Consider the following 14990-nt stretch of genomic DNA (forward strand, 5'->3'; position numbering starts at 1 on the left):
TTCAGTTACAAGGCAGCAGTGGTTGGGGTGATACAAAATCAATGCTCTGTGGTAGGTAACCACTCTGAGCCTCAGTTCCCTCATCTGTAAAGCAGAAATAATGCCTACCTTACAGGGTTACCATAAACATTAAATGAATGTTTGCAAAGCATATAGCACAGTGCTTAAACATAGCAGGGTATCAATAAATGATACTTAGTTGCTGCTATTATTATTAATTGAAACAAACTGAAAAAAAATGTTATCCACATGTTTTAGAAATAGGAAGTAGTAGTACAGCCCCAAACTTATCTTACTTGTAGATTCTTTATGATCAACTTCAGGAATTTTAAGGGATAAAATATTGGAAAAGCACAGGACTATATTGTTTGCAGACTGTCTAAAACACTTTTATTCACTTTGTAAGCAGCTATAACAAAGAAACAGGAAATTTTACTAAATTTTCTTTTTATTCATGAAACAAAGGATTTGGTTTAACTTGGGAAAGAACAAAGTCGCAAGTTCAATTGAAGTTAATTTGCATCTGAAGAGATTAATAACAGGTACAATTTATGTCCTGTCACCATCACCTATACAATGTACTATGATGGCTGGCAATATATAAAACCTATTTCACAAACCTTGATGTCTACCAGAATAAAGATGTTCATATCTTAGATGGGTTAAGATGGGCTCCATTAGTAGAAAAATTTGGCAAAAATCCTTGTCTCTTTGGATTGAAAATGAGGAAAACAAGAGATTTGTACCTTATGATGGAGAAGATAACATAGTCAAACGTAATATGTGATACTTTTATCTCAGTTTCATTAATCAGCAAGTAGGCTCTTTGTTTAGCTCCATGAGAAAGAAATTCTATATTCTCTATTTTTCTTGCTAGCATAAAGGACTCAGCATGTGAATAAAGAAAGCATTCTTTATTTATGAGTGATTTATTTCATAGTTTCTTTTTAATTAAATAGAAGAGACCTATAATGTATATTTTTCCTACTCAAAGAAGGAGCTCATATATATTTTCCATACCATAGCATAGGGAGAGCCATGTCAATGCATATACTCACAACTATAGGAGGGAACTCACTCCCTAACTGCTGTACAGCCTACCAGAGGGCATGTAAGCATAAGTCTCTATTGTAATCAAGGTAAAGTCTTAATCCCATCATCCCAAGTCATCCAAGTGGGGTCTACCAAATGGGCCTTCTCCTTAGTGCTGTAGAAGTTTCTTCACTGATGGTGAGAGGTAGTGGAGTACAGCGGTACTGTGACTATTGCCCTTTATACGTTAATCTGACACATTGATCTCAGCCAGTCTCATTTTCTGAAATCATGGTGTTTTAGTATCTTTAGTGTTGCCATAACAGAATACCTTAGCTGGGTAATTTATAAAGAAAAGAGGTTTATTTGGCTCATGATTCTGATGGCTGGAAAGTCCAAGAGCATGGGGCCAGCATCTGCTTGCTTCTGGTGAGGGCTTCTGTGCTGTGTCATAACATGGCAGAAGGTCAAGGGTGAAGGGAGCACGTGCAAAGGGGCAGAACATGAGAGTTGTAATCACTTCATAACAGCTCGCTCTCAGAAACTAATCCTGTCTCATGGGAGAGAGAGGTCTCACGTGAGAGAGAGAGGTCACTCACTGACAAGAACTGTAGAAGAATTGGCAGCATGCTGCCCATATGAGCAGAGGGAGCCCCCGTGACTCAGATGCCTCCCATTAGGCCCCACTTCTTAAAGGTACCACCTCCCAACATTGCTGCACTGGGAATTAAGGTCCCAACATGAGTTTTGGTGGGAACACTCAACTCATAGCATTTGGTAACAACAAGACTGTCGTTACAGTAGTCCCCCCTTATCCAAGGTTTTGCTTTCTGGGGTTTTAGTTACCCTTGGTCAACCATGGTCTGAAAATATTACATCACTACTCTTGCCCTTTGGGGCCTTTATTCAGTAAGGTAAGGATTATTTGAAGATAAGCATTGTGATACCACAACAGTAGATGTGATAACTGAGATGGCTACTAAGTGATTTATAGCAATCCAGGCCAGAAATGGTGGGACAGTGAGACATTTTGTCATGCTACTCAGAACAGCAGGCAGTTTAAAACTTAGAAATTATTTCTGGAGTTTTCTATTTACATCACAATGCCTACATCATTTATTTCATTTCATATCATCATGAAGCCATTGTACTATTTCATCATTACCTCAAGAAGAAAGGTAAGTACAGTACAATAAGATATTTTGAGAGGCCACATTCACATAACTATTACAGTATATTGTTATAATTGTTCTATTTATTTAGTTATTGTTAATCTCTTACTGTACCTCATTTATAAATTAAAATGTATCATATTTAATTTATGTGATAAAATTAAACTTTATCATACATAAACTTTATGTATGGAAAAAACTTAGTACATATAGGATTCAGTACTGTCCTTGGTTTCAGGCATCTACCAGAAATCTTGGAATGTGTCCCCAGCAGATAAGGGGGACTACTATGCTTTTTAAAAAGCATAGTAGTATAACCATTCATTCAACAAAAATTTATTTGATGCCTAACATGTATTTAGCAGAGGTCATGTGACAATGGGAGGGGCAAATGTGAGGACAATGCAGTTGTAGGAAAACATGCAGCTTTTTGCTTGGCTACTTTCTCCTTGGCAGCTCTGGAACTACACTTACTCTACTGAATCCTTCATCTTCAAACTTAATAGATGATCTGAAAAGCTAGAGATAACAATAGATTAAAGTGGGTTAAGTTTGCTCTGTGAAAATGCAGGCTCTCCGAAGTTTGACAGTGCTTTGCACATAGTTGTTCTTAATAGTTATTGAGTGGGTGTCATATGCTTATGTGTTTTATGCTAATGTCTAAGCGTATGCCCTTCCAGGATATGGATCCATTTTTGTGACTGAATGGATCAAGTTTTGTAACCCTTAAGCCTAACACAGAGTCTGGCATATGAAGTGTCTATGGGTTTTGGTTGAGGGGTTTTCACCAGTGAATAAAGTCTACTGGATTAGATTGTATAATCTCAATATCTCCTTGGGCTGGTTTGTAAATGAAAGTTGCTGTGATAGGAGGCTGGGTGTATCCTCACACTAACCTTAGAGGACATTTAAAAAGTGTCCTGGCCGGGCGCAATGGCTCATGTCTGTAATCCCAACACTTTGGGAGGCCGAGGCAGGCGGATCACTTGAGGTCAGGAGTTCAAGACCAACCTGGCCAACATGGTGAAACTCCATCTCTTCTAAAAATAATAAAAAAAATTAGCTGGGCGTGGTGGTGTTGCCTGTAGTACCAGCTACTCGGGAGGCTGAGGCAGGAGAATTGCTTGAACCCAGGAGGCGGAGGTTGCAGTGAGCCAAGATCGCACCACTGCATTCCAGCCTGGGTGACAGAGCAAGACCTTTCTCTAAATAAATAAATAAATAAATAAATAAATAAAAAGTGTCCTGATAATTCACTACCCTGAGCTTCAGATTGGACTCTACAGGACGAGTTTAAAACTTGTTTCAAATTTAAATTTCAGTCACTTTCTAGCTTTGTATTTTGTACTTACCTTGTAGATTTGGTAAGCAGTGAATGAGGTGAACTTGGCATATCATAGGTGTTAAGGAAATACTTTTTTCCTTTTCTCTCCACCTCATTTGCTCATAATTTTGCCAGAGATAGACTTTAGGGACAGAAATGTTTAATCATTTGTTGTATGGATTATTTCTAGGTTTCTAAAATAGAGACATTAATAACGCTTAGCTCATGGGTTTATTGTGAGTATCAGTGAGATGATGTATGTAAAGTGCTCAGTATTCCTGATACTTAGTCATCACTCAGTATTAACTGTTACTACCATTGTTATCATCAAAGGTGGCTCCAGACCAGCATGGGTCTTTGGATCGTCTTTGAAGTTAGCCTCAGAGATATGACTGTCCCCTGAGGCCACTAAAATAGTGCAATCTTTTTATTATTATTTATGACATGAGTAGGAAGGGCCATGAATAAGAGTGTGGGGACATGAATAATAGCAAGCTGTTCAGGAGGCTGATAATGTAGCACATCATTTTTATAATATGGCAGCCAGTTGAGCAACTGCTGCATTTTCTGTTTAAAAATTATTCCCAGCTGGGTGTGGTGGCTTATGCTTATAATCCCAGCACTTTGTGGGATGCAGAGGTGGGAAGATCACTTGAGCCCAGGAGTTGGAGACCATCCTGGGCAACATAGTGGGACCCTGTCTCTACAGAAATTAAAGTTTAAAAAAAAAATACCCTACCTGTCACTCCTCTATCTCTTTTATTTCTATTTTGTTCTTGTTTACCTCTTTCTGGCCCTAACCTCTGCCTCATCTGTCCATATGCCAACCCAAATTTAAGATTTTTTCTTTTTAAGAGACAGGGTCTTGCTCTGTCATCCAGGCTGGAGTGCAGTGGTGCGATCATGGCCCACTGTAACCTTGAACTCCTGGGCTCAAATGAGCTTTTTCCTACCATTTAATTTGTTCCCCATCCTTTCCTCTCATCACCCTCCCCTCTACCCCTGCTATGAGGTTGGAATCAAGTCAAAGCTGAGGATGGTGCAAGTGTTGGGGTTAGTTAGAAGGATACAGATGGAAACAGAATGCCAGGCAATCATGACATAGTGCGCCTGTAGCCGCTTCCAAGCAGAGGTGGCTTGTGGGCGCTAAGACAGCCAGGTTTCTGATGTAACATTGCTTGACTCTGTATATATTCTAGAATATGGTAAACTCAGTACATATTCTAGAATTTGACAGGTTGAGGGATGGAATGAAAGCTTGATTGAGAAATGAACATTATTAATTTTGAGCCTTACTAAGTCATGGATAAATGTTCACATTAAGAACATATTAGTTCATTAGACTGATAGACAAAGGTGAAAGATTTTCCCCCTTAACATTGCTTTTTTCTGATTAAAGTAATACTTACTAATTGTAAAATATACAAAGAAGTATAAATTAGGAAATACATTTAAGTATGAAGGCCAGAATTAAAATGACCCATAATAATTTTTTCCAGAGATTACTTACCTTGAAAATGCTGAGGTCTTTCCCAGTAACCTCTTTTCTAAGCATATATATGAATAAATATTTAAAATTGGATTATATGGAGTGTATGTGTGAGTGTGTGTGTGTGAGTGTAGCATTGTGTCTTATTTTTTTCTTAATATTACATCATTTGTCATTTTACTTGTTTTAAAATTGTTAGGAAGCTTTTAGTGGCTTCATAATATACTGAACTGTTGTGTCATAACAATGTAATTGTTTTAATGTAGGATATTTATATTGTTTCTACTTGTTTGCTACTAAAAATAACACTGGCCAGGCACGGTGGCTCACGCTTGCAATTCCAGCACTTTGGGAGGCTGAGGTGAGTGGATCACCTGAGGTCAGGAGTTCGAGACTGGCCTGGCCAACATGGTGAAACCCCATCTCTACTAAAAATACAAAAATTAGCTGGGTGTGGTGGCATGTGCACCTGTAATCCAAGCTACTCGGGAGGCTGAGGCAGGAGAATTGCTTGACCCTGGGAGGTGGAGGTTGCAGTGAGCCAAGATCATGCCACTGCAATCCAGCCTAGGGAGTCCGTCTAAAAAACAAAACAAAACAACAACAACAAAAAACCACTGCTGTGCTGGGCACCATGGCTCACACTTGTAATCCCAGCACTTTTGGAATCTGAGACAGGAGGATTACTTGAGGCCAGGAGTTCAAGATCATCCTGGGCCACATAGTGAGACCCTATATCTACAAAAAATTTTTAAAAATTAGCTGGGCATGGTGATGTGGCTATGGTTCCAGCTACTCAGGAGGCTGAGGTGGGTGGATTGCTTGAGCCTAGGAGGTCCAGACTGCAGTGAGCCATGATTATGCCATGGTACTCCAGCCTGAGCAACAGTGAGACCCTGTCTCAAAAAAGTAAAAATAAAAATACTACTTTGAACAGGCTGTTTTTAGCTGCTGTTTTGTTTTACTGTTGTGGTTGTGATTGTTTGGTCTTGCTTTTATGCTTTTTTTTAAAAAAATATAAATCTTAAAGTACATGTCTAATTATTTCCTTAGCATAAATTTCTAAAAGTGAGATTATTGAATCAGTGGGCATAAATGATTTTAAAGGCATTTTGTTTAATTGCTCTCCAGAAATTATATCAGTTTAAAGTATCCCAGTGGAAGAATTTTCTTAAACACCTTTTTTTGGGGGACAAAGAAGAACAAATCATATGTAAATAGATCATATATTATTATAATTCAAGGCCAACACATTAATATGATGAAAACCTTCTCTTGAGATTTTGTTTTGTTTTGTTTTTGAGACAGGGTCTTGCTTTGTTGCCTAGGCTGTACAGTACACTGGTGTAGTCACGGCTCTCTGCAGCCTTGACCTCCCAGGCTCAAGCAATCCTTCCACCTCAGCCTCCCAAGTAGCTAGGACTATAGGCACACCACCTTGCCCTGCTATTTTTTTTACTTTTATTTTGTAGAGATGGGGTCTTGTATGTTGCCCAAGCTGGTTTTGAACTCCTGGCTCAAGTGATCCTCCTGCCTTGGCCTCCCAAAGTTCTGGGATTACAGGCATGAGCCACTGCACCTTGCCTGAGATGGTTTTTATAAGATAATCTTGTTCCTTCTCTCCTGGTCTTAGGATCAACTGAGATTCACCTTGGGTTGAATCATTTTAAGAATTACTTTGACTTTTCCTTTTGCTGCCCTAGACATAATTTCAAGGGACATCTTCAGGAGCTGCTTTAAGAACTAGGGAAATAAGATGAGGTTTTGGTACCAGGAGTACTTCCAGAGGAACAGAATTTTAAGGGTGGATTTTCGTAACTGGTTTTGGGGTTTCTGGAATTGGCTCTTTAATCTGATTAGAGCTAAAAATGCTAAAGACTCTCTACTTCTAATAGTACAGACAGCACTGATAGTCCATGGCTGAGTTGTTTATAGAGATACGCAAAATAAATGCATGTGACACTCCTAATTCACCACTTATAAGAAGCAATGCACTTGGTGATTCTGTACATGATACTTTAGGATATTTGTGGAAAATCAAGAAACATAATGACATTAGTTGGTTGCTACTAATATTGCTGGGCAAAGTAATGAAAGAAAAGGATGAGCTCAGGGATTTGAATTCTCAGCTCCAGGTATACATAAATAGTCTCGAAACTTCTAAGTGTTCCCTGAAGGAGAATCTTCTCCCCAGTAGCCTTTGGGTTGAAATTACTGAAAACCAAACACAAGCCCTGATCATGCAACTAGCTTACCTACGAAGAAAGGTGCACTCAGCCTCACAGGATGTTTACTGTTAAAGTGAGGGCATTGATTGGGAAAGAATGGGAATAATTGGATTCCAAGGTGGCAGGGTCCAAGTGGCAAAACTCAACTGCCAAAGGCAAGGTGGGCATAGTTATCATAATGAGCGAACAGCAGAGGCAATCCAACAATCAGAATAATCTGACTCATGTAGACATTTGGCTTTGGCTAATTAATCTTGTTGTTCCTAGAAGTGAAATAGATGGGAAGCTTACTACATTCTTAAGCAGAAAACTTCCAGGTCAAGTGAACAAAAGTCTAACTCAAATATTAAAAACAGATCATCATGGCCACTCAATTTCCACACTTGAGCCAGTTTACAGACCCAGAACCCCTTGAATAAAGGGTACCCTACCCTTCATTTGGGTATACTACCAAACCTTTATACTGTTTATACCTCCGGCCTTTTACTAGGGTAACTGCGCATTGGGGAAAGAGAAATAATCAGAACTTTCAGGGAACTACTGACAACTGGCTCTGAACTGACATTGATTCCAGGAGACCCAAAATATGGTGGCCGTCCAGTCAGAGTAGCAGCTTATAGAGGTCAGGTGATCAGTGGAGTGTTAGCTCAGGTTTGACTTAACAGTGGGTCCAGTGAGTCCCCAAACCATCCTGTGGTCACTTCCCCAGTTCCAGAATTCCTAGTTGGAATACACATACTTAGCATACTGAGCAGAATTTCCACATTGGTTGCCTCACCTGTGGAGTGAGGGATATTATGATTGGAAAGGCCAAATGGAAGCCATTAGAGCTGCGTCTGCCTGGGAAAATAGTAAATCAGAAATCGTATCACATCTTTGGAGGGATTTCAGAGATTAGTGCCACCATGAAGGACTTGAAAGATGCAGAGGTGGTGGTTCCCTGCCCATTCTTATTCAACTCTCTGCCCTGTGTAGAAGACAGGATCTTGGGGAATACAGTGGATGACTGTAAGCTTAACCAAGTGGTGACTCCAATTGCAGCTGCTGTACCAGATGTGGTTTCATTGCTTGAGCAAATTAACACATCCCTTGGTACCTGGTATGCAGCTACTGATGTAGCAAATGCATTTTTCTCCATACCTGTCCATAAGGGCCAGCAAAATACTTTCACTGTCCTGCCTCAGGTGTATATCAAGTCTCCAGCTCTGTGTCATAATTTAGTTTACAGAGATCTTGATTGCCTTTCCCTTCCACAAGATACCACACTGGTCCATTACATTGATGACATTAAGCTGATTGTACCCAGTGAGTAAGAAGTAGCAACCACTCTGGACTTACTGGTAAGACATTTGTGTGTCAGAGGGTGGGATATGAATCCAACCCTCAGTGAAATTTCTAGGGGTCCAGTAGTGTGGGGCCTGTCGAGATATCCCTTCTAAGGTAAAGTTCTTGCATCTGGCCCCTGCTATAAACAGGAAACAATGCCTAGTGGGCCTATTTGGATTTTGGAAGGAACATGTTCCTCACTTGGGTGTGTTGCTTTGATCCATTTACTGAGTGACTAGAAAAGCTTCTAGATTCAAGAGGGGCTGCAACAGATCCCTGGCTATTATGCAAGCTGCACTGCCACTTGGGCCATATGATCCAGCTGATTCAATGGTACTTAAGATGTCAGTGGCTGATAGGGATGCTGTTTGGAGCCTTTGGCAGGACCCCATTGGTGAATCACAGTGGAGGCCTTTAGGATTTTGGAGCAAGGCCCTGCTATCATCCACAGATAACTACCCTCCTTTTGAAAGATAGCTCTTGGCCTGCTACTGGACCTTAGCAGAAACTAAATGGTTGATCATGGGCCACCAAGTTACCATGTGACCTGAACTGCCTATCATGAATGGGGTGTTATCTAACCCACCAAGCCATAAAGTTGGGTGTGTACAGCAGCACTCCATCATCAAATGGAAGTAGGGTATTGATCAGCCTGAGCAGGTCCTGAAGGCAAGAGATTCCATGAGGAAGGGACTCAAATGCCTATGTTTCCTGCTGCTACACTCTCTCTCTCCTCTCTCCCAGCCTGCAACTTTGGCCTCATGGGGATGACTCTATGATCAGTTGACAGAGGAAGAGAATACTAGGGCCTAGTTTTCAGATGGTTCTTCGTATATGCAAGTACCACCAGAAAGTGGACAGCTACAGCACTGCAGCCCCTTTCTAGAACATCCCTGAAGGAAGGTAGTGAAGGGAAATCCTCCTGTGAACAGAATTTCAGTCAGTGCACCTTGTTGTGCACTTTGCTTGGAAGGAGAAATGGCCAGATGTGTGATGACATGCTGATTCATGGGCGATAGCCAATAGTTTGACTGAATGGTCAAGAACTTGGAAGGAACATGATTGGAAAACTGGTGACAAAGGAATTTGGGGAAGAGGTTTTGTGGATAGACCTCTCTGAGTAAGCAAAAGATGTGATGATATTTGTGTGCCATATGAATGCTCACCAAAGGATGACCACCTCAGCAGAGGAGAATTTTAATAATCAAGTGAATAGAATGACCTGTTCTGTGGATACCAGTAGACCTCTTTCCTTAGCCACCCCTATCATTGCCCAAAGGGCTCATAAGCAAAGTGGCCATGGTGGCAGGGATAGTGTTTATGCATGGACTCAGCAACACGGACCCCCACTTACCAAGGCCAACCTGGCTACAGCCACTTCTGAGTGTCCATTCTGCCAGCAAGAGACCAACATTGAGCTCCTGATATGGCACCATTCCCCAGGGTGATCAGTTATCTGGTGGCAGGTTGATTACAGTGGATTGCTTCCATCACGGAAGGGACAGCCGTATGCCTTTACTGGAATAGACAGTTACTCTAGATATGGATTTGTCTTCCATTCATGCAAGGCTTCTGCCAAAACTCCATCCATGGACTTACCAAATGCCTTATTCACCATCATGTTATTCCACACAGCATTGCTTCTGACCAAGGAACTCACTTCACAGCCAAAGAAGTGTGGCAATGGGCGCATGCTCATATAATTAATTGGTTTTACCTTGTTTCCCATCATCCTGAAGCAGCTGGCTTAATAGAATGGCAGAATGACCTTCTGAAGTCACAGTTACAGTGCTAGCTAGGTGACGATACTTTGCAGGACTGGAACAAGGTTCTTTAGAAGGCCGTATATGCTCTGAATCAGCATCCAATATATTATACTGTTTCTCCCATAGCCAGGACTCATGCATCCAGCAATCAAGGGGTGAAAATGGGAGTGGCACCACTCACCATTGCCCCTAGTGACCCACTAGCAAAATGTTTGTTTTCTGTTCCAATGACATGTTCTGCTGGCCTAGAGGCATTAGTTCCAGAGGGAGGAATACTTTTACCAGCAGACACAACAATGATTTCATTGAATTGGAAGTTTAAAACTGCCACCGGGCCAACCTGGACTCCACACAGGCTAAGAAAGTAGTTAAGGTGTTGGCTGAGGTGATTGATCTGTACTACCAAGGGTGAAATTGGACTATTACTCCACAATAGAGATAAGGAAGAGTTTGTCTGAAATATAGGAAGTCCCTTAGTTTTACCATGCCTTATGATTAAGGTCAATGGGAAACTATTATACAATAACTGAATCTAGGCAGGACTACGAATGGCCCAGACCCTTTAGGAATGAAGGCTTATGTCACCCCACCAGCTAGAGAACCACAACCAGCTGAGGTGCTTGCTGAACTTGAAGGCAAATGGAATACAGCATATACGATAGAAGAAAGTAGTTATAAATACCAGCTATACCCACATGACCAGTTAACAGAATTGAGGACTGTAATTGTCATGACTATTTCCTCCCTATTTTGTTAAGAATACCTTCATGCATAGATACATACATCTTACACAGATATTTGTTGTCTTTCCTCTCTTATTCATTTAGCATTAACATAAAATTTATTGACTTTTAGTGTTTAAGTATTGTTAATTTTACATCACAGTATTTAAGTTATGGGATATCAGGAGAAGAGTAAACATCACTAAAGAAGTTCACCTTCTCTTCTGGGGATGGGATTTGTGCGTTTTTGGTTGTACACAGGATAGTTTTATCATGTTAGGTGGAATTATGACCTTTTTATTGTTTTTATTTGGAGATGAAGTATGGTTTAAGGAGATGTGTATGGGTGATAGTTTAACAAGGGGTGGACTTGCGACGGTTAATTTTAGGTGTCAACTTGACTGGATTAAGGGATGCCTAGATGGCTAGGGAAACATTATGTCTGGATGGGTCTGTGAGGGTGTTTCCAGAGGAGACTGATACAAGAGTCAGTGGACTGAGAGAGGAAGACCTGTCCTCAATATGGGCAGGCACCATCCAGGTAGCTAGGGGCCAGCTGGGACAAAGGGGGAAGATGGGAGACCCTTGTTCTCTGCTCTCTGTCTGCTTTCCAGATCTGGATGCCTGTTCTTCTCCTGCGCTTGGACATCAGACTCCAGGTTCTTTGGCTTTTGGACCCTGGGACTTGCACCAGGGTCCTCCCAGGATTGTCAGGCTTTTGTTCTCAAACTGTTCTCAAGCTGCATCATCTGAAGCTTCCAGACTAAGCCATGCTACTGGCTTTGCTGATGCTCCAGCCTGCACGTGGCCTATGGTGGGACTTTATCTCTGTGGCAGTGTGAGCCAATTTTCCCTAATAAATTCCCTTCCATATATCCTGTTGCTTCTGTCTCTCTGGAGAACCCTTACTGATTCAGGTGAATTCCTAGAAGTGGGATTATTGAATCAAAGGGTATACATTGTTTTCAAGGCATATTGCTTAATTACTTTCAGAAATTTTATCAATTTAAATTACCCCAGTGAAGTAATTTTGTTAAATCCTTTTGGGGAGAGGGGGAGAACAACAACTAATAGGTAAATAAATTACATATTATTGGAATTCATGGCCAATATATCAATATGATGAAAACCTTCTAAGGCAGATTTTTTAGTTAATCTTTTTCCTCCTCCTCACTCCCCTTCTCCTTGGCTTAGGATCAGCTGAGATTCACCTTGCGTTGAATCATTTTAATAATTACTCTGGCTTTTTCTTTTTCTCAGCACAATTCCAGTGGATATCACTAGGATGTGCTCCAAGAACTAGGGAAATGAGCCAAGGCTCAAAGCCTGAAGTGCCAAGAGGAAGAATGCTTGAGGAAGAGGCTGCCTAGTTCAATATGTATTGCCACCCAGTTCAGAAAATGAAGTGCACTCCAAATCTAGGAGATTAGGTTCAACTCTGATTTAGCAAATGAATATTTTCTAGTTTTTAAAATTGACATTGTGAAAGTTGAGTGTATCAAATGGAGTCAGTCTTGTCATTACCAACTAAAATGGAGTCCAGAGGTCATACGAAAGGGCACCCAGTTCCCATACACCTGTTCCATAAACTATTTTTGCAATTCAACAAAAAACCCACAGAGACCTACCTGTGGCTTTAAGATTATGTCTTACCTGGTAACTGCTGCTACTTCATCAAGCAGAACTTGCCAGTTCCTGCTGGCACCAATGAACTTTCTTTCAAAACAGTGTACCTTCCTCACTTTCCCAATAAAACCTCAGCCTTTCCCTTCGTTCTTTGGACACACCCAGGTGCTGCCCAGGTCTGGGTGTCCTGAATTGCAATTCCTGCATTTTCCCAAATAAACTCTTTCTTAGAGATTGACCTTTATATATTATTTCAAATTAACAATATTGAGGAAAAAAACAGAATGGACACTTATAGAAAGATATCAAATAAGACTGCTCAGAAGAATAGAACCTTCATCTTTCCAATCATACTGCCATCAAGAGTGAAAAGCTTATTTTGTTGGCTGTATAATGTTTTAGTAAGGAGAAAGGGAAGAAGAAAGGTAAGGTGTGATCACTGACATTGACAGAGGTTATACCTGCCTACCCCTACTAATTCTTCAAACCTAGCTTAAAAGTAACATCTTCTGGTAGGCCTTTCTTGACCCTTAGTTTTGTTTATAACTTCTTACCCTCCAGAGCAACATCTGCTTGCTGGTGGTGCTCTTCTCCTTCTTTCTTCCTCTTCCTCTCTCTCTTCCTCCTCCTCCTCCTTCTTCATACACATGACATCTGTAATTACTTGTTCACTGCTGTTTTCTCAATACATTCTAAACTCCAAAATGACAGGTACCATGTCTGCCTTATTCACTGCCTGCGTCCCAGCACCAAACACAGTGCCTGACACAAAGTAGACACTTCTTACATAATTACATTAAATTGGATTGATGGTCACTCTAACTATGGTTTTATGAGCCATAAAGGAGAAAAAGAAAATGAAAACAATGTTCCGAATTAATACCGTTGGCTCCATCACTTGCAACTAGAATTTGCAAAAGATTATGTAAGTGCTGAGGGGATGTCCAACAATTACATGATTGGGGTTAAAAGTCTTTGGATGAGGTAAATGGTGAGTGATAAAGTTTTGAAGGGCTGGGCATGGTGGCTCACCCGTGTAATCCCAGCACTTTGGGAGGCCAAGGTGGGAGGATTGATTGAGGCCAGGAGTTGGAGACCAGCCCGGGCAACATAGCAAGACCCCATCTCTATGAAAAATAAATAAATAAGCCAGGTGTGGTGGCACATACCTATGGTCCCAGCTACTTCCAAGGCTGATGTTGGAGGATGGCTTGAGCCTGGGAGGTCAGGGCTTCAGTGAGCTATGTTTGTGCCACTGCACTCCAACTGGGATGACAGAGCAAGACCTTGTCTCAAATAAAAAAATAAAAAATAAAAAATAAAGAAAATTTTGAGAAGACAATTATTTCGTTTGCTACCAAAACAATGGGATAACATTTTTAAAAAGAAAGATTGTATTCAATACATTGAGGAAATGCTTACCATATGCCAAATACTGAGTATACAACTGTGAATAAGACATGGTCCTTGTCTTGAGGAGTTGAATCCCTTGTGTTAGGGAAGCAGGAGCCTAGGAGAGCCAGAGTGGCACCACTTTAAAAATCAACTCCATCTTGAGACTAACAAGGCACATTCCTTTTCGGTCACAACCCATAATCATAACACGTTTATAGTTGAGGAAACAGCCTAAAGATACCTACTACAAGGACACACTCCTACAAAAGCAGAAAGCCCACATGTCCCAATACCCATAACAATCTATGTTTTCAAGATAATTACAGTTAAGCTTTGATGTATTCACACACTAGAATGTCAAGGATAGTTATCTTTAAATCAATAGAATAATTTGTAATGCTGTCTGCTCACCGACATGTAGACACAGCTTAGCTTTTTACATAGATAAGACCTCTGTATAAGGAAAACTTACAGACAAGACGTGCCTCCTCTTACTCTCTGGGGATGCCCTACTTTGTAATGGAGTAGCTTTTAATAAACTCTCTTCTCACTGCGCTCTGCTACTAGCCTTGAATTCCTTTTTGCATGAGATCTCAGAACCCTCTCTTGAGCTCTTTTTCGACAACTTGGAAAAGGCATTGTGAGTAGATAATTATAGTACAAATTGGTGAGTGACTGCTACAACAGAGGTGGAATTATGAAAACTTGAGGAAAAAAAAGATGATTAATCTGAGGTCTCAAAGCATGGGTAGTTGAGGAAAGCTGGGCGGGACTTTTTCTTGCATTGAGAATGGCACTTAAAACACAAATCTAGCCTGGTGTGCCAAACTAGGCTAACAGTGAAAACTCAAAAGCTTAAGCAAAAAAGAGATCAGATGTGCTTGTTTGTTTCAAGATAACTAGGTCTTTG

The sequence above is a fragment of the Homo sapiens genome, chromosome 8, assembly GCF_000001405.40.
Source record: "Homo sapiens chromosome 8, GRCh38.p14 Primary Assembly".
Classification (NCBI taxonomy): Eukaryota; Metazoa; Chordata; class Mammalia; order Primates; family Hominidae; genus Homo; species Homo sapiens.